At 38.3% G+C, this 22,809-nt stretch overlaps 1 long non-coding RNA gene across 6 annotated transcripts in view, besides 2 other annotated features; it reads right to left on the reverse strand.

The window, feature by feature from the left end:
* The window catches only part of LOC105374493 (uncharacterized), a 98,514-nt gene that overhangs the window by 51,849 nt on the left and 23,856 nt on the right, over nucleotides 1-22,809 (reverse strand). The gene's annotated exons all lie outside the window — the stretch shown is intronic.
* Nucleotides 5,065-5,359: an enhancer, noted in NCBI's record as "tiled region #2307; HepG2 Activating DNase matched - State 5:Enh". NCBI's record gives its function as "activates a minimal TATA promoter and a strong SV40 promoter by Sharpr-MPRA in HepG2 cells {active_cell/tissue: HepG2}" and the evidence as "EXISTENCE:reporter gene assay evidence [ECO:0000049][PMID:27701403]".
* Nucleotides 5,065-5,359: a silencer, noted in NCBI's record as "tiled region #2307; K562 Repressive non-DNase unmatched - State 24:Quies". NCBI's record gives its function as "weakly represses a minimal TATA promoter and a strong SV40 promoter by Sharpr-MPRA in K562 cells {active_cell/tissue: K562}" and the evidence as "EXISTENCE:reporter gene assay evidence [ECO:0000049][PMID:27701403]".

Below are 22,809 nucleotides of genomic sequence, written 5' to 3' on the forward strand. Positions count from 1 at the left end.
TTTAATTGATTTATCCCAGTTCTGAAGGCTGGGAAATACAAAATCAATGTGCCTGCAAATTCAATGTGTTGGGAGGGCCCTCCTCATTTTGTGAAGATGGTTGCCTTCTTGCTGTATCCTCACATGGCTGAGAGAGATAGCATCTCTCTTATGCCTCTTCTTACAAAGGCATTAATCCCATTTATGAGAGTTCTACCCTCATGATCTGATTAGCTTGCTCCAAAGGACTCACCTCCAAATACCATCACAATGGAGATTAGGACTTTTAACATATGAATTTGAGAGGGACACAAACAATTAATCCATAGCATTCTGTCCCAGGTCCACCCAACATTTATCTTCTTCTTACTTGCAAAATACATTCATTTAATCTCAACAGCCCCAACAGTCTCAACTCATTTTAGCCTCAATTCTGGTCTGAAGTCAACAGTCTCATGTAAATATCATCTAAATCAGATAAAGGTGACACTTGAGGTTTGATTCACCCTGAGACAAAATTCCTCTCCATTTGTGAATGTATAAAACCAAACCAGTTATGTGTTTCCAGAATACAATGGCAGGACAAGCGTAGGATATACATCCCCATTTCAAAAATGATAAATAGGAAAGAAAGATAAATAGGAAAGAGGTCTCAAGCTAGTTCAAAACCTAGCAAGGTAAGCATTGTATTTTAAGGCTGAAGAACAATTTTTCTTGGCTCTATTTTCTGTCTTTCAGACCCACTGTGGCAGAGATTCTGCTCTACATCTCTGGAGATAGGGGTCTGGTCCCCAGGGCTTTGCCCAGTGAGCGATGGGGTGTCCCACACTCATGACTCTGGGTGGCCTCACCCCAAGGCTTCTTGTGGAGGCTGCCTGGCCTGCCGAAATCAAGACGATGGTTTTCTCTTTTGAAATCAAGGAGGTAACACTGATGATTTATTAATCACCTTTTATGGCTGTTTGTCTTTTGTCTTGAAGAACAGTGCACATTCACAGTCAAATAACTCTATAGTCCCTTCCTGTAAAAATCTAAGAAGTTTGATTCTCTTCCTGTATCCTCTCTCATCTCAGTTCTCTTTCATTTAAACTGGCAGTGTTCTGCTCGGGTGACTGACTAGTGCTTTGATTCACACCCACACAATCTCCTTATCAAATGGTTGACCCACCATGTCCTTGGTGTTCTCTTCCAAACATACTTGCTCATTTTTGTATAATATAGACAAGCTAAGAAGTTTCTAAATCTTTCAGTTTTGGAATATTTTTGTGTAACCATTTTGTCTACAATTTATTTTTCTCTTCTCTCATTTTACTATGAGCAGTCACAAGGGCCCAAGCAGCTCCTTCAACACTACATTTGAAAAGCTCCTCAGCTAAATGTCCAGTTTCATCACTTACAACTTCTACCTTCCACAAAACACTAGAACATAAACATAATTCAGTCGATTTCTTTACCACTTTACAACAAGGATCACCTTTTCTCTATTGTCCAGTAATTCATTCTGCATTTCTACCTAACACCTCATCAAAATGGCCCTTCCTATCCATATTTCTGCCAACATTCTAGACATGGTTATTTATGAGTAACTTTCTCTACAGCTTTCCTCTTTCTTTTCTGAGCCCTCACTCAAGTTGCTTTTAAAAGTCTCTTCATGGCAATATCAGCTTTTATAGCATGCAATTCAAGACTCTACCCTTTACCTAGTTCCCAAGCTACTTCTACATTTTAAAATATTTGTTATAGTAGCACCTCTACTCTCAGTAGAGGTCTCAGTCTGCTCATGCTGCTATTACAAATAGCATAAACTAGATGGCTTAAGCAACATTTATTTCTCACAGTTCTGGAGGCTGAGAAGTGCAAGTTCAAGGTGCCAGCAGATTAAATGCCTGGTGAAGGTTACTTTTCTGGTTTTAAAACAGTTGTCTTCATGCTGTATCTTCACGTGGCTGAGAGAGATGATCTCTGTCATGTCTTTTCTTATAAGTGTACTGATCCCATTCATAAAGGGTTCACTCTCATGATCTAATTATTTTCAGTGTCCTCACCTTCAAATACTTTGGAGATTAGGACTTCAACATATAAATTTTGGGGTGATAACAACATTCTGTTCATAGCAAAAGGTATAAGAAGGATTGGCTGATGTCCACAGTTTACTTAAGGTTCATTGTTTTCCAAAAAGTTTATTCCTGTACAAATACAAGTACATAAATATACATAAGTATAAATATGTACATATATATTTTTCCATTTATTTATTTTTGCTAAATGTCTTTTTTTTTTTTTTTTTTTTTTTTTTTTTTTTTTTTTTTTTTTGAGGTAGAATCTTGCTCTGTCACCCAGGCTGGAGTGTAGTGGCATGATCCTGGCTCACTGCAACCTCCGCCCCCTGGGTTCAAGCAATTCTTGTGCCTCAACCTCCATAGTAGCTGGGATTACAAGCGTGTGCTACCAGGGCCAGCTAATTTTTATGTTTTTAGTAGAGATGGGGTTTTGCCATGCTGGCAAGGCTGGTCTCAAACTCCTGACCTCAAGTGATCTACCCGCCTCAGCCTCCTAAAGTGCTGGGATTACAGGCATGAGCCACTGCACCCAGCCAATTTTTGCTAAATGTCTTGGTTGACATTATGAGCTTTGATAGTATTGGCAAACTTAGAGACTTATGGAAAATTGAGTATTTTTCCCACATAAACATCAAAATTTTTCTATATTAAATAAGCTATTTTCTGAAACTCTTTACTTACGAGAATTTTTTGTACATTAATGAGTTGACTTTACTTGAAATAGCCATCAGAATTATAATTGCAGTCTCCTAAATTTAATATTTTTAAATTATTTCAAAAGAATATGACTCACAGCAACTCAAGGAAGGAATAAGTGGAAATCTTTTCTTATAGGCTTATATGTTGTATACATCAAAAAAATAAAGTCACTTAAAGAGAAAATGATGGGGAGTCTTTTGAGGCAGTGATGTTAACTGTCTTTTTCACATCTATAGCCCTCCATCTAGTATTTTAAGCACTTAAATTTATCAATTAATTAATTGTGAAAGATATATAATTCCTTGTTCTTAAAGCTGCTGTTACATTTTTAGTCTCCAAACTTACAAGCATGTGCTGTGTGCACATAGACACATGAATAGTTTCAACAATAGGTACAAGCAAACCTTGCATGAATACCATTATTTAAAGATTTTGAATTTTTTAAAATATAAGAATCATTATCATTATAAAAATAAAAACTTTATTTGATGTTCTTAAAATTATTGCATGTCTTTGAATTGTTTATGAATTTCATAGAAAAGAAGGGGAATGGGGCTTCATAATTCTTTGGTGCTCATAGTCCCTGAAGTTCTTATTTTGGCTGTCTCCCCACATTTTTTTCTGCACGAGCTCCTGCTTCTTTCGTCCTTTGAATTGGAGTTTTTAGACTTTTTTTTGCTGTCAAAACACCTAATTTGTACGTTTGCAATGCCTACTAAGAGAAGCTCTCACAACCTGAAAAATCTCTGCACTAGCACAATGGTTAGCCACCTCTGAAATACCCACTCAGAAACCCAGAAGCTATATGTAGTCTTGTCCCAAGTAAAAGGCGGACCTCCAACCCAGTGGTGTTTATTTTTCCTTTAATCAACTAGTGAAGCAGCACAGACATACATAAATGCCAAGGGTCTTCTCCCAAAACAGCAGCAAAATGAGGTTAGAGATGCTGGGAGGATCCCCTGGTGAGTCCTGGCAAAGTTTGAGACAGTCCTGGGCTTTCTCATGTCTGAGCTCAACACTCAACAGCTCACCACAAGGCCGTCCCAGTGAACTCTGTCCCATTGATATTGGACATTACAGGAAAAGATAATAATCAGTCTTACAGACCTCTGTGGCCTGGGAAGGATGGACAAGGGTATAAGCTGCTGGCTACCTAAGGTTGCAAGGACAATGAACAGGCTGGTATCACCCCTGCTCTTTGATGGTTTCAGGACAGACTCACAGAATCACAGAATCGAAGAGGTGGAATGCAATGAACCATCTCTATGTTTCGTTTCTTTGTTGGTTTTCTGCCAAAATGACCCCTGTGATGGAACCTTACCAATTTCTAAGGCTGCTACTTTACTTCTTTAGTAATTTTAACTGCTAGGCATATCTACTTAAATATAACCCAAACTGACCTTGCATTGCTCATTGTTTTGTCCTGTAAAGGTAAAGAGATGAGAGCTAGTTTCCATAAGAAGTTATCAACTATTTGAAGGCAGCCATAATCCCTCTTCTCTCTGGGCTAAATGACTACATTCCTCACCCTCCTGCAGCCTGGTTTCCGCTCTCACTAAAAGTGCTCAAACTGCCACCCTTACCTCACTAAACTCCTCAGATGCATCCAGCAGGCATAATTCATTCCTCCTTTGATGTCTCCCTGGACAAGGCTTTCCCAGTTCTCCACCTATCAGGGAACCTGTTCTCGGTAAGCCTTCCTCACTGGCTTTTCTGCTTTCCTCACTTCTTAAGCTAAGGTGCTAGCCTTAGCCCTCTTTTCTTCTCACCAAAAAAGAACCCACCTCAGTGACTACATCCATACCCAGACCTCAACTCTCATCTAAATGTTAATAATACCCAAACTTTATTTCCTGTTTGAAAGTCACATGACCATATCCAACTTCATCAAAAACACTCCACAGGGGCCTCAAGCTTAATATAATTACAAATTAAAATAATTATCTTTCTCATAAAATGAGTTCTTTCTTACCTGTATTATTTTCCACCTCCTCTGTCTTCTGCAACTTAAATGGCTCTACTGTCTATCTCTTCAATGACACAGTGAAAAAGAAAAAAAGGGAAGGTATCCTTAACCTATGTAGTTTATCAATAAAATGCTAGCCAATAAAGAAGCAAAGGTGGACGTTAAAACCAAAATTCCTGATTCCAAGCCAAATGGCTTTTCTTCGTACATTTTCTTTTGGTATTTTTTGGTATATTCATCTTTGTATATTTACTCAAGTAAACAGAGGCAAATACAACTTTTCAAGGACTTTCAGATAAAATTGATTATATGTGACCAGATTCATTTCAGGAACCTATAAAATGTATACTATTTTTCATTCTATTCCAGTTCACATCATCTTCATATAAATGTAGAGCTTTGGTACATACTACAATTGGATGTGAAGTCTATTTTTGCCAATGAAGCAATGAGGCAAAGTTCACAGCTGAGGACAGCCACACTTTGCCAACAGTTAGCTTAAACAAGGAGAACTTTGACACTTGTGGTAAGGGGGAAACCTTTTCATGAATTGCTGCTTTATTGAAACCTTGCCTAGCAGATGCAGTTTAAGTGGAAAGGGAATTTCTGCTGCAGTTTATAGGACTGTGGGGGTCAGAGGCCAACCAGGGCCTTCTGAAAATGGACTGGAAGAGCTTGCCTCTTCTAAGACAGCCCCCATATTTTCACTTATGACAAATATTTGGAAATTAAATAATTATCTTAAGGAAGGCATGATGCCTTTTACAGCCTGAAATCCTGAGGGTTGCCATGGCTGTGAACTTCAGAGTTTCCACAGCATTTCTAAATATTTGCAGAGAACCATTTCCTGTTTCAAGAATGACAAAAGTCTAACTTGAAGAGTGAACATTTTAGTGCTGGTCAATTATTTCAGAAGAGTTGTACTTTGTTAAAATCCACACTCAAATATACTACAACAACATTTTGGGCTTGGGAACGTTTTCTCGATCTAGGAAGTTCAAAATAAAGCCTGAATGCTCCATCTTTAGAGCTTTCAGCAAGGGTAAGGTAGCATAGAGGAACTATTACATAGGATGCCATTCTCTGCAAGCAAGTGGTGGAAATTAGACATAAAATCCTCTATTCAGGAGAATACAACCTGGCATTATCCTAAAATGTGTATGATTAGGTGAATGCATTCGGATAGAATAACATTTAGGTGAATGCATTCAGATAGAATAACATTTCCTCCTCAATTCAGCCTCTTAACCTTCAGCCACCTCTAAAATGATTTCATTATTCAGATTTATAAAATTTAACTTATATTTGCCTCCTTTAGCTGCCACAAATTTTCAAACTGTTGCTAGGATCTACTAGATATTCTGGGGCCTAACTGTTGAGTTTCTCACCATGGCATGAAATACCAGATACATTCACTCTGCAGACAGGAAACAATAGTTACCATTTATTCGATGCCTTCCATGTGTTGTATTCTATATAAAGCTCTTTGCAGGTATCATCTCTTTAATTTTCATAAGACCTCTGTGAGTCAGAAATTATTTTAAATTTGTGCATACTCTGCTAGAGCCCCAAAAGGATACGAGACTAATAAGATGCACTTAAATATCTTCTTTGAAGAAGTATTTTAAAACTAAGAACAGTTAGATAGATTTTGTCAAAAGCATACAGCCAAGGAGTAGCAGAGTTGGAAATTTTACTTAAATAGATCCAACTCCAAAGGTCAGACTATATCGCTCACACCATCAGTAGGAACTGCAGCCAGCAGAAAAGTGACCAGGGACCCATAGGGGAAGTGAGGGTGGAAGCACAGATCATGAATGGGGAGAAGCAACTGCTGGCTGAAAAACACAGAACCAGGAGACAGAAAAACCCCTTGCTTGTATGTAATTGATGCAGTGCCTCCCAATGGGAGTACTATTAGCATTTTGGATGAAACAATCCTTCACTGGACAGGACTGTACTCACACTGAGGAATGTTGCTTAATGCTTTCCCCAAACACTTAATGCCAGCATCATCCCTCATCATTGATAAAAACAAAAAACACCTAACGTATTACCAAATATCCCTTAATGAGGTAGGGCTGCTTAGAGGAAGTGGAATTTTATAATCCTAAGCATTATAGGTAGTATTGCTTTCCTCTTACAGATGAAGAAACTCCAAAGTTTCAAGTGCAAACCTTTGGAATGGAATATAACGGTGAATAATATTAAATGTTAGGCCCTTTCCCCAATGACACCATCATCCTAAGTGCCTTGACATTTCTTTCCTTGCCAAGATAATAATCTCTTTTACACAAAGGTCATTGTGTAGACACATACACAGATCCCTAGCTTTCTAGAGCAGAACTTGGGTCTTCTACATACTGCAGTGTGTTCTTCTCATTATAGGATCTCCAATAATCAATTACTTGATTTTCAGTTTAATTAATTAAGGACAAGATCATAATTAAAAGCAACCCATTTTAATTAGGTCCATTTAATTAGAAAAACAGGTTCATTTCTATTTGGGAATTTTAACAGGAAAACTGCATGAAATATGTGGTAATCTAGGGCATATTAAAGGACACATTTTACTTAGGAGGGGATGATAGACTGAAGCAGCATTGTGATGGTGAGCAAAAGAAAGTCTTTGACATGGAAAAGACTTACGAAGTGATCATGCTTAGCTGGGCCAAATGGCTTGTGTTATTTCCAGGTGGAAGTATATTGCAGGGCTTCTGTAGCACTCTGGAGGTACAATTGGGAAGCAATTGGAGCAGTTTGGAACATCTGTCTCTAATCAGCATGGCCCTGCCCTTATCCATTTCTGTTCTTGTCCAGGAATGGTAGAACATGAGCATGTCCCAGCTCCAAAGCCTCCACTATAGCACATGTTTCTAATGAGTACTTAAGAAAGCAAGAGCTCCCAGCGAACACATCACAAAGACATGAAGTAAAAGGTAGACTCCTCAGAGTGAGCTAGATTTTATTAAAGCAAGGAGGGGAGTGCTTGCACCCTCTCTAGCACATTTAGTGCATACTCCAAACCATCTCGTTCCCCACTCAACCTTAACTCAGCCCCTTATTATCAGCCAGACTCCCATCTCTAGTGTTCTTTATTTATCCTTCCTCTTACTCAGTCCTCCTTCTTTTCCCTCTTTGCTGGCTAGTCTATGTTCTCCCACCACCACCACCCCAAATGCATGCTTTGCTTTTACCTGCCCCACTTTTGCCCTAGAAGCAAACTCCTATGAATGGCAGCTTCCAGGCTCCCTGCCCTCTAATTTGCAGGTGAGTACAGCCATTGAAAGATCGAAGCAGGTAATCATGGGTTAGGTAGACAGAATGGAGGGGGGCCTTATTCTCCCCTGCTTCCTCCCTGGTTCTCTGCTGTGCTCCAGGCAGTGGCTCTATACCTCTGTTCCCTTAGGCATTTCTGCCTCTATGATTCTGGCTCTCACCGGGCTCTTTCACAGTTTCCTGTCCTTGCCACTTCAGACTCAGGAATAGTAATGGCTGTCAATCATTGCTAGTCTCAGGATACCTTCACTTTTCTAGCTGGTTTCCTTAACCCTGCCTACACACGGCTAAATGGTCTTCCGTCATTAAAAATCTCTAAGTTGAACCACCTGAGTCAAATTTGTTTTTCTGTCCGGACTCTGACCAACATATCCTCCCTCCTATTGCTGTCTGTGGTGCCTTGGAACTACCCATCTATAATCAGTAAATTCTACTTGATCCTTGGTCTCCTCCCAGAACATTTACTCTACTGTCTTATCTAAAAATCTACCTGACTCCAACTTACGAGTTCATTTCTCCTACAGTGTTTTCAAGTGAACCATCTTTTATCTCACATCTCATGTGGCTTAGGAGAGGGTTGGCTTGTCGTTACAGCTTCTAGGTCACTATCCACCTCACACACACCAAAAGCAAAGGAACTCCCATTGCTTATAAAGGTCAGGCCATTCTGTTTTATCTCCATCATTGCCAACTTGTTGCTGTCATCTACTGACCTCCAAGTCAACCTCCCTCATTTATTAAAGCCTTTAGCTGTGAATTTAATTATCTTGTTCTCATTGCCACTGACATCAGCCTTAATTCATTCATCCCACAAAAATTCATTGAGTACCTGTTGACAGACCATGTTCTAGTTGCTAGGGATACAGTGTTGAACAAAACAAAAAAAGGAAACATTTCTACTTTCACATACTTGTGTGTATGTGGGAGAGGACCTTTGTGTCTTAGCCTAAACAGGGTCAGGCTGACTATGTGAAGGGCTCCCCCTGGAGTTGTACAACACAGTGGCCCTGTTCACCTCTCCATTCCTCACTTTCCTAATCTCCAGTGACTTTTCTTTCCACTTGACTTTACATATTCACTCCCTTGGGTCATAAGCACAGTGTTGTCACCAGGAGCTGCACTTCATTCAAAATCTTTCATTTAAAGATTGAATTTTCTGATCCCCATTTCCATTCTTGGGTGTCCTTGCTCTAGTGACCCTCCTGTCAGTTCTTTACCCTCACTAGACCTCCAAACTATTGAACTCACTACTTTCTCACTGTCCCTCAGGTTTCTTCTGTCCTTAGGACAGATGAGAGAGCTGAACCCAAGACTCAACATTAAGCCAGAGATTCACAAGGGAGCTGAAGAGGCCCCAGGTCATTGGTGCTGGTTACAAGATTTCCTGCCTTTGTCTGCCAGGCAGCCTAGGGGTTACAGTGCTTTGTGATGTTGTGAATCTCTTGTTCAACTCTTGGCAACTCCATTGCCTACGTAACTAATGCTCTGCAATAATATCCTCTGCTTAAATACTTGAAGACAGTTTTGTATTTTTCATTAGACCTTGACTAAAACAGAAATGCCCAATAAGATTGTAAAGATGTCCAACTTCAATAGTATCAGAAGGAAATAAAAATTAAGATCATACAGCAACCAAATTGACAAAAAGTAAATAATAGTTCACATAGCTACAGAATTAAGAAACTCTTATACTCTTCTACTGGGAGTATAAATTAAAATAACAAGTTTAGAATGATTTAGCATTATTTTACATTTGTGGACATTTGCATAAGCAGCAGGTATAAATCATATTACTACGAGAAACTCTTGCCCTCAAGCAACAAAGTCTTTTACAATAATTAGCATATTTTTTAAAAGTTGATAACAAAATACAAAGAAAGGAGATAATCCTAATGACCATAATGACAATTACTAATAATAAACATGGCAAACTATATATATATATATATATAATATATATATTCTCTAAAATATTACAAGACAGTGAAAATGACTGAAATATAATTCCTTGCACAAAACATAGTTTATTCTGGGAAATATAATCTAGAGTAAAGAAGTCACTGAAGAACATACAGAATATCCACCATTTATAAAAAGCTCAAAAATAAGTGACATTAGACAACATGTTATTTATTTTATATATATATATGTATATATATGGCATTAAATTATTTTATGAAAAAGGAAGAACAAAGATAAACACAGTGATTACCTGGTCTTGGTTACCATGGAGTTGAGTTAGGACAGGGACCCACAGGTGCATGGAAAGGCTTTGTTAATGTACTAGACCTTGGATTAGTGCTTATTTAGTTATTATGCATCATCAGACTATATATATGCATGTATACACACATATATTCACATATACAAATCTTATAAATTTTATGTAAATTATACATACATATATATACATACACACACACATATGTATATACAAAATTTTTCTTATTTTTATACTACTAGTTCTCAGATTGCCCATTGGGAAGCATCAGCTCCCTAAGGTAGGTCTTTTTCATCTCAAATATCTTATAATTTCATAAAACTCCAATATTCTAAAGATGCATAATTCCATACCATAACTAGCCAGATTATTCCTAATCATGCTTTATCATTAGTTCACTTGCAAATCCCATGCCACCGAATATGAGAGATTACTGCTTCTTAATGGTTACTTCACTGCACTGTCCCTCAGTTCCTCTGAAAAATGAGGGACTAACTCTATGTACCTCATGGGGGCTCTTGTGAGGATAAAACTGAGTAATTTAAAGAAAGCATCTAGCAATGTCTGGCATATAGAAACATTCAAAATACATGAAAATATTCAAAATCTTCTTCGTATAATATTAATATAAATAATGATGTTTTTACTCTCTCTAAATTAATTTAGAGAGAACACATTGTGGATTGTTCTGTAAAGCGTGCACATAATAGAGTTTTTCTTAGAGGGCCTCATTACATGAGAAGGCTCACTTGCTCACATAATTATGGAGCCGACATGTCAGGTAAGCCACGCACAAGGCATGAGCAGGACTTCTGGTTGCATGATCATGATCTTTACCTAAGAATTCCTCCAATACAAACACAGAACCCAGAAGGAAATAAGCTTGTGGTCAAAATTAAAGTTTAAAGAGAAGTAAATTATATGTCATTAATGATAATGAAACTCACTGAAGTTCCATCTCTACCTCCAACAAATTAGGCATGAAGCTCAGCCTCTCTGGTCTTCCTTTCTTAATCTATATAACAGCTTAAGACTGAACTCTACAACCAAACTGCCAGAGATTGTACCCTGGATCCACTGCCAACCACTGTAGGATTTGGCTTGATAAACTCCCCAAGCGTCAGTTTCCTTATAGGTAAAATAGGGTCAGCAACACATATAGTGGTTGAGAGCATTACATGAGATGTTTATAAAGGGCTTACCCCAGTAGCAAGCACATTTAAAGTGCTTAACAAATATTTTGACTGTCACCATTCTCTAACTCCATCACTGCAGTCGTTGAAAACCCAGGGCCACCTTTCATTTATCTTTATACCTCTAGATTCCAACACATTTCACCTATACATAGTGCATGTTTGGTGGATATTTGTTGACTTGCATTCTAGATGGTCACAGAAAATCCAATGGAGTCTTTAAGTGTTCACGTAAAGGTTATCCAGAAAACCCTTTGGAGTTAATTTGTCCTGTGCTCTTGGTAAAACATGGCTTCTATGGTAGGAAGAGGGGAAAAGTCTATATTTTAAATGGTTTCATGGACTGCCAAGAACTGTTATAAAACAATATTTTGATGAGTTACACAGTACATGAATCAGAAACATATGAGATTAATTTCCCTGAAAATACATGTGGGTTTAAAAATGAAAGGAAAGGAATGTTGGCACAATGTGCTATGCCAAACCGAAAATGTTAGAAAAATATTTTATGATATTAGGATGCACAAATCCTAAAAGCAGCTCAATTTGCTCATCTTTCAGTGGCCTGCTCCCAATGTACCTGTTGTGTCTGGTCCTCTACAGTGAGAATAAGTAAAACCTAAACAAGAAATTTAAAAGCCATGGTATAAGACAAGGAGCCAGAAGTTCCAAGTCTTGGGCCTGGTTCTGCCACTGGCTAGCTGTGGAAGTCTAGATTAATCACTTAATCTTCCTGGGCCTCAACTCAGGAAAACAGTCCATGACTTGCAGACCTCACAGGATTGTTGAGAGTGCTGTTAGAATGCGAGTTCAGAAAGCAGTGATAAGCCCAGGATGACAGAGACCAGAACAAAAAAGTAAGATGCTACTGTCAAGAGGAGGCAAGTATCCAGATGAGCCCATACCCCTGTGTCAAAGTGAAGCAGGCATGCACAAGATGTACACGTGGCTAACTGTGGAGGAATCTTCAGCAAAAGTTAAGCAGAGTATCCATGATGGATTATAGTTCTTGTTCATCAATATCCTCAAGCCCTTTGTATTCTCTGCCTTCTACCACTTCTAAGGTGCAAAACCCCAACTCTACATGTAGGTGGCTGGACACCTCAGAAGGATGGTCGGCAACATCAGCTGGACCCAGAGGGATCTTTTTCTACTCTTCTGTTTTGCGGCTCTTCTTCACTGTGCTAACTCCCAACTCATCACTCAGGTCTAATCCTTCTACTAAAATCGCTATCCTCTTATTTATGGAAAATCTGAGACCAACTAGCATTAGTTAACCAATAGTATTCTCATCTGTATATCTACTTCTTCCCATACCCATTGGTATCAGTTATCTGTTTCAATGCAACAAATTACCCCAAAACTTAGAAGATTAAAACAACAAGCATTTATCTCATAGAGTTTCAAGGACAGAAATCCAGGACTGACTTAGCTGGATGATATTGGACATGGGTAGACAGGGTCTACCATGGTGTTGCAGTCAAGCTATCAACTGGAACTGCAGTTAGGTGAAGCCTTGACAGGGCAGAGGGAGCCTCTTCCAAGCTCTCTCATGTGGTTATTGGTTGGGCTATTGACCTCTGGTTTTCACAATGTAGGCCTCTCCCTAGGTTGTCTGAGTATTCTCATGAAATGGTAGCTGGATTTCCCCAAAGTGTTATGGACTGAACTGTGTCCCCTCAAAACCTTATACTGAAGCCCTAACTTCCAACATGAATATATTTTGAGATACAGCCTTTAAAAATGTAACCGAGACTGAACTGGGCTATACAAGTAAAGCTCTAATCCGATATGACTAGTATCCTTATAAGAGGAGGAAGAAGCACCAGCATGCCTGTCCTAACAAAGTGATGAGAGAGAGAGTACACCTAAGAGGGATGCTACAGCATTTTATAAATTAATCATGGAAATAATATACTAAAACTTCTACCACATACTACTGGCCACATAGATTGACATTCGTGTAATTTCAATGGGGGCTACACTAGGGAGTTAGTACTGAGATGTGGAAATCATTTGGGCCATCTTAGAGACTAGCTTCCACACCATCTGCACTCTCAACAAGAAGTGAGCTCCAGCCACCCTGCTCATTTGGGAGGTTGATCCCGTCACTTCTTGCCTCCTCTTAGTTATTGTTCTCAGAAGCAGTCATCCACCTGCTTCTGAACATGTGCTCACTCTCTCTGTCTCTACTGACTCTCCACTTTCACTTTACAATATCCTTGTACTTGACCCACTATAGGCAGATCTTATGGGGCTCAGGAGATTACCATAACTAAGACTGCCTTTTATTTTTCAAAAAAATAACTTAATTAACTCTTTAACAAATTTTAAGGCTTATGACACTTATGAAAGAAAACAATTTTGCTTCCCTGTCCACAAGTGATTGAAGCCATAAGTGAACTAAATTTAACTAGGTAGGGGTGGACAAGACAGAGGTCAGCCATATCTGAAATGACTTGGTGCTAATCTCATTCCAATAAAGGCATTTGTATATGGCAGTGACAAACCTACCTGATGAAATCAAGCCTTTTGCAAAGAATAAACATTAAGTAAACAAAGAGAAGTAAGGTGACTTGGATGCGGGGCATGAATCAAATAATATGGATGTGCTATTTCAGTTCTTCATATCTTTCATATATTCCAGTCTACAAACACAGAGCCCAGAGTATCGGAAGAGCTAAAGAGATGATATCCCTTATTTCTCTCATATTCTTATGAATGTTTGTGATTAATACCTCATTACCAAAAGTAGTCTGTGCAGACTTAAAATGCCTGACTTCCCCATTCCAATAAATAAAAAAAATCTATCTAATCGTTTCTCCTACTACAGCATTCCAACTCCATCACCACTACTTTCTTCTTTAGTTTGAACTAGATAAATTGCTTTGCATGTAGAATGCCCCCTTCCAGCATTTCTCAATAAAACAAATACTGTATAGCCCACCAAAGTCCAAATATTCTTTATTAACTCATGCCATATTATTAATAGTTCTGTTTATTTCTTATCTACAATGGTGTGTCAATGAAGTATATGATCAGTGGCATTTTTCAGAAAAGAACATACATTCACTTAGCCAAACAGAAGTTTTAATCTTTGCACAAAACAAGAAGATAGGTATACCGTGCTTGATGGCTGATTCAGTGGCTTTATTATTTCATGAAGGACACATGGTCCATGGCCATTCTGCTTCATCATTCTGTGTGTGGCTTTTGTTTTCATGCTTATCTCACCGAGGTTGCGAAAGGGCTGAAAATGACTGCTTTGCCTCCAACATTGTATCAGTCTTTCAAAAAGAGATGAGAGGCAAAGGACAAAAGGTATGGAACATATGAGCCTAAGCTCTGTATAAGTTTTACAAAGTGATTTCCGGTTACATTTCATTGACTAGAACTCATTGTCATTACCACAAATTACCATTGCCAATCAGGGCCACCCACAAAGGAGGATGGTGTTTTATTTGTTTTGTTTTGTTTTTATTTTATTTTAGATGTAAACATTATTACTCTGAATGAAAATCAGGGGTCCATTGGTGTCAACAAAAGAGAAGATGGATAGTGAGCAATTGTCCCACAGTTTCTACTTCAAAGAATGCAAAACAAAATAGTGACTATTTGTATTGTGTCATCTCAGCTAAGCAGGAGCTCTGTTTCATAGAATCTCCTTACTTTTGAGGGTCTGGATTAGGGTGGCCATGACAGAATTTTGAGCCACGTTTGAAGGCAAAAGTAAAGCTTCAGCCATATTTTTATTTTATTTTATTTTATTTTAAGTTCTGGGATACATGTGCTGAACGTGCAGTTTTGTTACATAGGTATACATGTCCATGGTGGTTTGCTGCACCTATCGATCTGTCATCTAGCTTTTAAGCCCCATATGCATTAGATATTTGTCCTAATGCTCCCCCTCCCCTTGCCCTCTACCCACCAATAGGCCCCAGTGTGTCATCACTATTCCCCTCCCTGTGTCCATGTGTTCTCATTGTTCAACTCCTACTTACGAGTGAGAACAAGTGGTGTTCGGTTTTTTGTTCCTGTGTTACTTTGCTGAGGATGATGGTTTCCAGCTTCATTCATGTACCTGCAAAGGACATGAACTCATTCTTTTTTATGGCTGCCTAGTATTCCATGGTGTGTATGTGCCACATTTTCTTTATCCAGTCTATCAGTGATAAGCATTTTGGTTGGTTCCAAGTCTTTGCTATTGTACATAGTGCTGCAATAAACATACATGTGCATGTGTCATTGTAGTAGAATGATTTATAATCCTTTGGGGATATACCCAGCAATGGGATTGCTGGTTGGGGTAGTGTCAGTTGTCACTGGTTTGCTTGCTTCCCTTGTTACCATGGAGCAATAGCTGGGCCCACAGATCCTCCTTCCTTTCTGCCCTGCTGAATTCAGTCCCAGCACCAGACACAGAAGCAACAGTATGCGTAAACTGTATGGCCAGTTTACCCAATTACCTAACATCACATTTCAATGACAAACACTATATTCTGTGTTATTTCTAGTAGTTCATTTTATAATGAAGAAATTAACAATGACAAATGAATTCCTGATGTTGAAGCAGATTGAATGTTTCTTACTAAAATTAAAAACATATAGGCTGGGTGTGGTGGCTTACGCCTGTAATGCCAGCACTTTGGGAGGCCAAGGCAGGCAGATCACAAGGTCAGGAGTTCAAGACCAGCCTGACCAACATGGTGAAACCCCATCTTTATTAAAAAATATAAAAATTAGCTGGATATGGTGGCATGCACCTGTAATCCCAGCTACTCAGGAGGCTGAGGCAGGAGAATCACTTGAACTCAGGAGTTGGAGGTTGCAGTGAGCCGAGATTGTGCCACTGCACTCTAGCCTGGGCAACAGAGCAGGACTCTGTCAAAAAAAAATCTATATCTATCTATATCTATATCTATATCTATATCTTCTGATAATTAGTGAGCATGGAAAAGAACAAAGAGCATAGTTAGCGCAGTCAGGGAATTGTTGGTTTATATCCCAAATCTGCAATGTTGTAAAAGTTTGACCTTGTGCAATGCATCCTCTTGAAGACCTGATTTTCTTATCTGTATGGCAAAGCTAATTGTACATGTACCTTTCAGAGTTCTTGTGACATTTACTAATAATACATATAAAAGGGCCAGCATTCTATTTAGTAAAAAATAGATGTTCCAATAAGTGATGGCTGTGAATGCAGTGCACTTTCCATTATACCAGGAGAAAATAAATAAAAATATATTTTTAACGTTGTGACAGAAAGAGCAATATTCCATAAATGTAGGAAACAAACAATTAATTGTATTAGATGATAAGGGCATGATAAAAGCAGAACATTACCTAAAGATTAATAGTTTAAGAAAGAAAATTTCTCTTTCTCTCTTTCTCTCTCCCTTCTCCCTTACCCATCCACCCACAACTACCACTATTATAACTAACCCAGTGTGTGAGTTTAACAACTATATTGCAGCTTTTCATTTAAGGCCATTTAATTGCCTTAAAGGTGTTTTTAAAAATCTTTAAAATCAATCAATAAACAGACAAATATCTTAATGAAAAAATAAGCAAATAAACTAAATGAAAAAACTCTCAGAAAAACAGTAATACTAGAATTACATATTAAAATATTTTCATTCTGGGCAGGAAATATAAAAGATGAGCCTGGAACACCTTGTAGTGCCAGCAAATAAAAACAAATGCTCAGAAGGAAGGAAGGAAGGAAGGAAGGAAGGAAGGAAGGAAGGAAAGAAGGAAGGAAAGAAGGAAGGGAGTTACGGAGGGAAGGAGGGAGGGATGGAGGGAGGGAAGAAAAAAGGAAGGAAGGAAGGAAGAAGGAAGGGAGTTAGGGAAGGAAGGAGGGAAGGAGGGAGGGAGGGAGGAAGGGAGGGAGGGAGAGAGGGAGGGAGGGAGGGAGGAAGTTAGCTGAGGTCATATTAACATGACATAAGAGCCAACTGAAAGAGCTCCCAATAGCCAAAGTTGACACAATTTGAGCAAAATATTAAATAAAATAGGATCAAATAACACAAAGTATAGAATAAATATCCATGAGGCCATACCGATATAAATATATAAATGAATGAATAAATAAATAAATGTATAATAGACAAATCTCTCTTTCAGAAGAACTCCAAATAATTTATGTAGATACCTAGTTCTCAGGTTAGATGAAGGGTAACTTCTCTCTCCCTAAGTGTGGGGCTATTCATAGTGAATTCATCCCAATGAGTACAGTATGGAAATGGAGAAAAACAGAATAACTTCATAGTGCAGAAACTGACCAACATTACCTCTTCCAGGCGAACATGGTTAACACCAGCATTTATAAGTCATGTTGACAGCATGTGCCCTGGATACACTCTGATGAAAGCACTTCACCTCTCTTGTTGTGCACATAATCTCAATATAATAAGAAAAACACCAGGCAAATCCCAATGAAGAGATATTCTGCAAATATCTGACAAATATGCCTCAAAAGTGTCAGGGTCATCAAAAACAACAAAAGTCTGAGAAACTCTTAAGATGAGAAGGACACTAAGGAGACATGACTACGGAGAGTAATATAGTATCCTGGACAGAAAATGGGACCTAGGTAAAAACTAAGAACATCTGAAAAAAGCATGGGCTTTAGTTAATAATAATGTATCAATGCTGGTTCATTAGCTTTAACAACTGTACCATACTAATGTCAGATGTTAATAATAGGAGACATAGGTCTGGGAATTCTCTATTTTCAAATTTTTTCTGTAAATCTAAAATTGTTCTAAAATAAAAAGCACATTTTTAAAAGATATTCATTCTCATTGTGCTAAGTAAATAGTTTTTTTAAAGTTATAATTTTTCCCATATTATACTGGCAAAAGGTTTTTAAAGGTACAGAAACTTAGTGTTAATAGAAAATGGATACTTAGTATAAATTCACACAATTTTTCTAGAGAGCATTTTGCATTAATAGTTCAATGAGGCATACACATTGATTCAGACATCTCATTTCCAAGATTTATTCCTGCGATGCTTAATATACAAGTAAGAAAATACATAAGAATGTTTCTTGCAGTTAAAGTTTTATCAATTTGATAGTCATTAAATGAGGAATAGTCCATCCATATATCCAATATTGTATAGCCATTAAAATTATGCATTTGGAAATATTATATCTACATCACAGTTTTTATGAAAATTATACTGTGATTCTACTTATATAAATACATGCACACACACACAGGCATCTACATATATAGAGAGGGTAGTTAGTGGAAAAATACTAGGGGTCGATAGTGGAAAAAAGTAGAAAATTCGATTATTATTATGTTTTTCTTTTTAGTTAATTTTATGAAATATTACAAATCTAATTTTAATGCTATAGTTTTTGTTCTTTAATTTTTAGATTCTTAAGGAATATCTTATCCTGGTGAACCAGTCAGTAATCATGAACTTCCTTTTACCTCTCAAGTTTAATGCCCAGAGTTAAAGACTCCTAGATCCAGCCCCACACTCAGAGTATAGCTTTTTGGATTTTTTTTTTCTTTTTTTTGAGATGGAGTCTCACTTTGTTGCCCAGGTTAGAGTGCAGTGGTGCAGTCTCGGCTCACTGCAACTTCTGCTTCCCCAGTTCAAGCGATTCTCCTGCCTCAGCGTCCCAAGTAGCTGGGATTACAGGTGCCCACCACCACACCTAGCTAATTTTTATATTTTTAGTAGAGATGGAGTTTCACCATGTTGGCCAGGCTGGTCTCGAACGCCTGACCTCAAGTGATCTGCCTGCCTTGGCCTCCCAAAGTGCTCGAATTACAGGCGAGAGCAACCACGCTCAACCTAGCTTTTTGAGTCTTCAGCTGATTGGGGAACAAATGAATGCAAATGTAAACAGGAGAAAACTAGTCTTAAGTGGTTGAACAACTTGGACCAAGGTCACACTGTTGGCGAGTAGACTCACCAGGATTCATGTACTGATCTGTTTAATTTCGAACCCAGCTTTACAACCACCCGACGTTGTTCTGGAAACAGACAGACTGTAATTGCCTGTATTTGTTCAAGTCTCTACTCTGCTGTGTCCTAGCTGTGTGAATATTGAGCAACTTAAGTAATCTCTCAGATCTTCACTTTCATCATCTGTAAAACTAGGAGGCCGGGCACGGTGGCTCACGCCTGTAATCCCAACACTCTGGGAGGACGAGGCAGGTGGACCATTTGAGGTCAGGAGTTCGCGACCAGCCTGGCCAACATATAGTGAAACCGCGTCTCTACTAAAAATACAAAAATTAGCCAGGCGTGGTGGTACATGCCTGTAAATCCAGCTACTCAGGAGGCTGAGGCAGGAGAATCACTTGAACCCGGGGAGGCAGAGGTTGCAGTGCGCCAAGATTGCACCATTGCACTCCAGCCTGGGCGACAGAGCGAGACAAACCTGAGGTAACAACGCCTACTTTCCAAAACCATGCAAGAAGAAAATACTGCCAGAATTTAGAATAGATGCCTAATAAATATTTTTTGAATAAGTAGATGAACAAATGTAGGAACAATAAATGTTACCTAAACAGAGTGTGACAACCAGTTTGTCAACACACTAGTGATATAAAAGTTTCCTAATTATGAAACATCTTTTACAGGGATTATTCACCATAAGATCCAGGACTCTATACATTTTGCTCACTGCTAAGTAGTCCTTTCTTACCAGTTTAATCTCCCTCTAAAATGCTCATTCTGTCTCAAATGCATATTGTAAGCTATTTAAAAAGTTGGATTTTCTTCCTTGGGAAAGACACTATTTCTTCTACTTGCCAAAATAATACATATATTATATGGGTAGTTAAAACAAACATTTTTAAATTTTATTAAAGGAGTTTTACTGATTTCATAACTGAAATATAAGATATTAACAATAAAGATGTTTTGACAGTAAGAGTCTGTCAACATTATATCTAGAAGTATACATAAATCTAATATAAAATATCTAGAAAATCCAGAAAAATTAATGACAGCAAAACTATAGTCCAAACACTGATGAGTCTCATCAGCTGACTGAATATGACACATATTAAGAGAATGTCTGAAAGTCAGTTATTTTCTCAGTTTTTAAGGCCAGTATCTGTCAATTACTCAGATGCAGCATAAGTAAATGCATAAAGATTAGCCTTTTTCATCAATTTAAAAATCATGAGAAAATAAAATTTTTAATTCAATAGGGTCTCTAAAGATCTATTTCTTAAAACTAAATATAACCTGCTTTTAAAAGGGAACACAAAGATGTGAAACAAGAAAATGAATTAAAATTCCTTAACATTTAAACTTTCCTAAGTGAAAACTTTTCACAGGCCTGATAGTGAGGGATGAGCTGGAACTCTGTGGTGGGAACAGTGCTGGGGGTTTATCTACAACGACGATGGTTAAAATCCGGGACCTTCTTGACCTGTTCAGTGGTGGGTTTACATTGAAACTGTTATAAATTATTACAGAGGTGAAGCCAAGCCAAACAGTCCAACATAAATATATCTGCAGACATACTGGCTACTATATATTCTAAACACTGTCGGTAAATGAATAAACAGAGCTTTCTAAATCATTTAAGAAAATATATTTATTCATAAAATCAATAATTTTCAGTTTTCAGTTTGAGCCTCCTAAAAAATGAGAGACCTATTATAACTAATTTTTTGGAATCCGTAAATATCATGGATTCCCAAGCTGCTCCCTTCCTGCGATAATGGCCAGAACCTCACACTTCTCTAAGTGATGTGTGAATGTTTTTCAGTTTGGACACTTGACTAATCTCTACCTGTTGAAATTGTTCCACTGCATTACACAAGTTAAATATTTGAGCTCCACAATTTCAACAGACTGACTCTGCATCTGTATAAAGGGACAAAGAAGTATAATATGACAGTCTGATTTTCCTAGGGTTGTTGGGATAGCAGCAAGCCTGCTGCTGGCTTGCCCATATGGGTGAATCATAGCCAACCAGGGTAGACCAAATTTTGTGGTCTGGTTTTATTTGCCTAGTCATATAACTCAGGGCTTTAAGTCTGCACATTGTTGACCAAAACATTAATTGTGGCAAAATAGTTTGTGTCTGTACTGAAAGAGTAATACCAGGGTAACCCACATGTAGTGACCATGAATTAGTTAAAAAAAAAAAAAAAAAAAAAAAAAAAAAAGGAGGAAAAAAAGGCATGAGGCTGTGTTTTGTTGCAGGGGAAAGCTCCTAACCTCTGAAGCTAAAGTCATTGGGAGGTCTCATGTTGAAGACAGCTTCAATAGAAACGAGGTTGTTTTATGGGAGGGAGGAGGGGCTGCCGGTTAAAGCAATAGGTGCTTTTCTGGATAGTATTTATTTTCTCTTTGTGTTCCAGTATTAATCAATGTAAGTGTCTTTCTCTGTCATTTGAGTTTCCCTGTCTATTAAACACAGCCAGCTGGTGATAATCTGCAGTTCACTTTTCCTAAGGGAAATTGGCCTTCACTGGTCCCTTTACTGATTGGTAAATTGATAGGTTGATTTTGATATAATCAATGAATGTTAGACACAGGGGAGAAAACCAAACCCCAAAATGTCAAACTGAATGTCACAAAATATGGAAGATTTCTAGGGAGAATATAAAAAGAGATCTCCTGAGGCAAACATATGGGTTCAGGATGAAGGTCTCAGCTGGATGAGTGATGAAAGTGAACGCTATTTTTTTCTTCCTGCCTTAAGCATTATTCAGAGTATCCACTTTGAAGCTACGCTAGAGAAAAAACATGCCTCAGACCCTATGTGTTGGTCCCATACTATCCAGGCAGCCATCAAGAGAACATTAGTATACTAGTTTAGGTTTCTGTGAGCAAGGGAGGGCTGTTTTTCCTTTTAAACGGCCCCAGGACTCCAAAGAGTGAAACAGTTTCCCAGGGCCCTGGCAATGGTAACATCTGTTGGTGGAAACCCAAGAGCTGCTGGGTAATGAGGATGGACCTCCAGACCCTGAATGTCTATCTCACCTATGGCTCTTTAGGATAAGCTAATTGTGTTCTAATTGTATTAGTTTCCTAGTGTTGTTACAACAAAGTACCAGCAACTCTTAAAACAAAAGATGTTTATATTGTCTTGAAGTTCTGGAGGCCAGAAGGCTGAATCCCAGGTTAGCAGAGTTGGTTGGTTCCTACTGAGGGCTTTGCGGAGTCTGTTCCATGCCACTCTCCTAGTTTCTGGTGATGGTTGGCCATCTTTGGCATTCTATGGCTTGCAGCTGAAACCCTGCAATCTCTGTCTCCGTTGTCACATGGCAATCTTTTTACAGTATGATTCTCTCCTCTTCTTCTAAGGACACCAAACATATCAGAGTAGGCTCACCCCATTCTAGTATGACTTCCTCTTAACTAATTACATTGGCAATGACCCTATTTCCAAATAAGGCTACATTCTGAGGTACTAGG

Source organism: Homo sapiens, chromosome 4, assembly GCF_000001405.40.
Source record: "Homo sapiens chromosome 4, GRCh38.p14 Primary Assembly".
Taxonomy (NCBI): domain Eukaryota; kingdom Metazoa; phylum Chordata; class Mammalia; order Primates; family Hominidae; genus Homo; species Homo sapiens.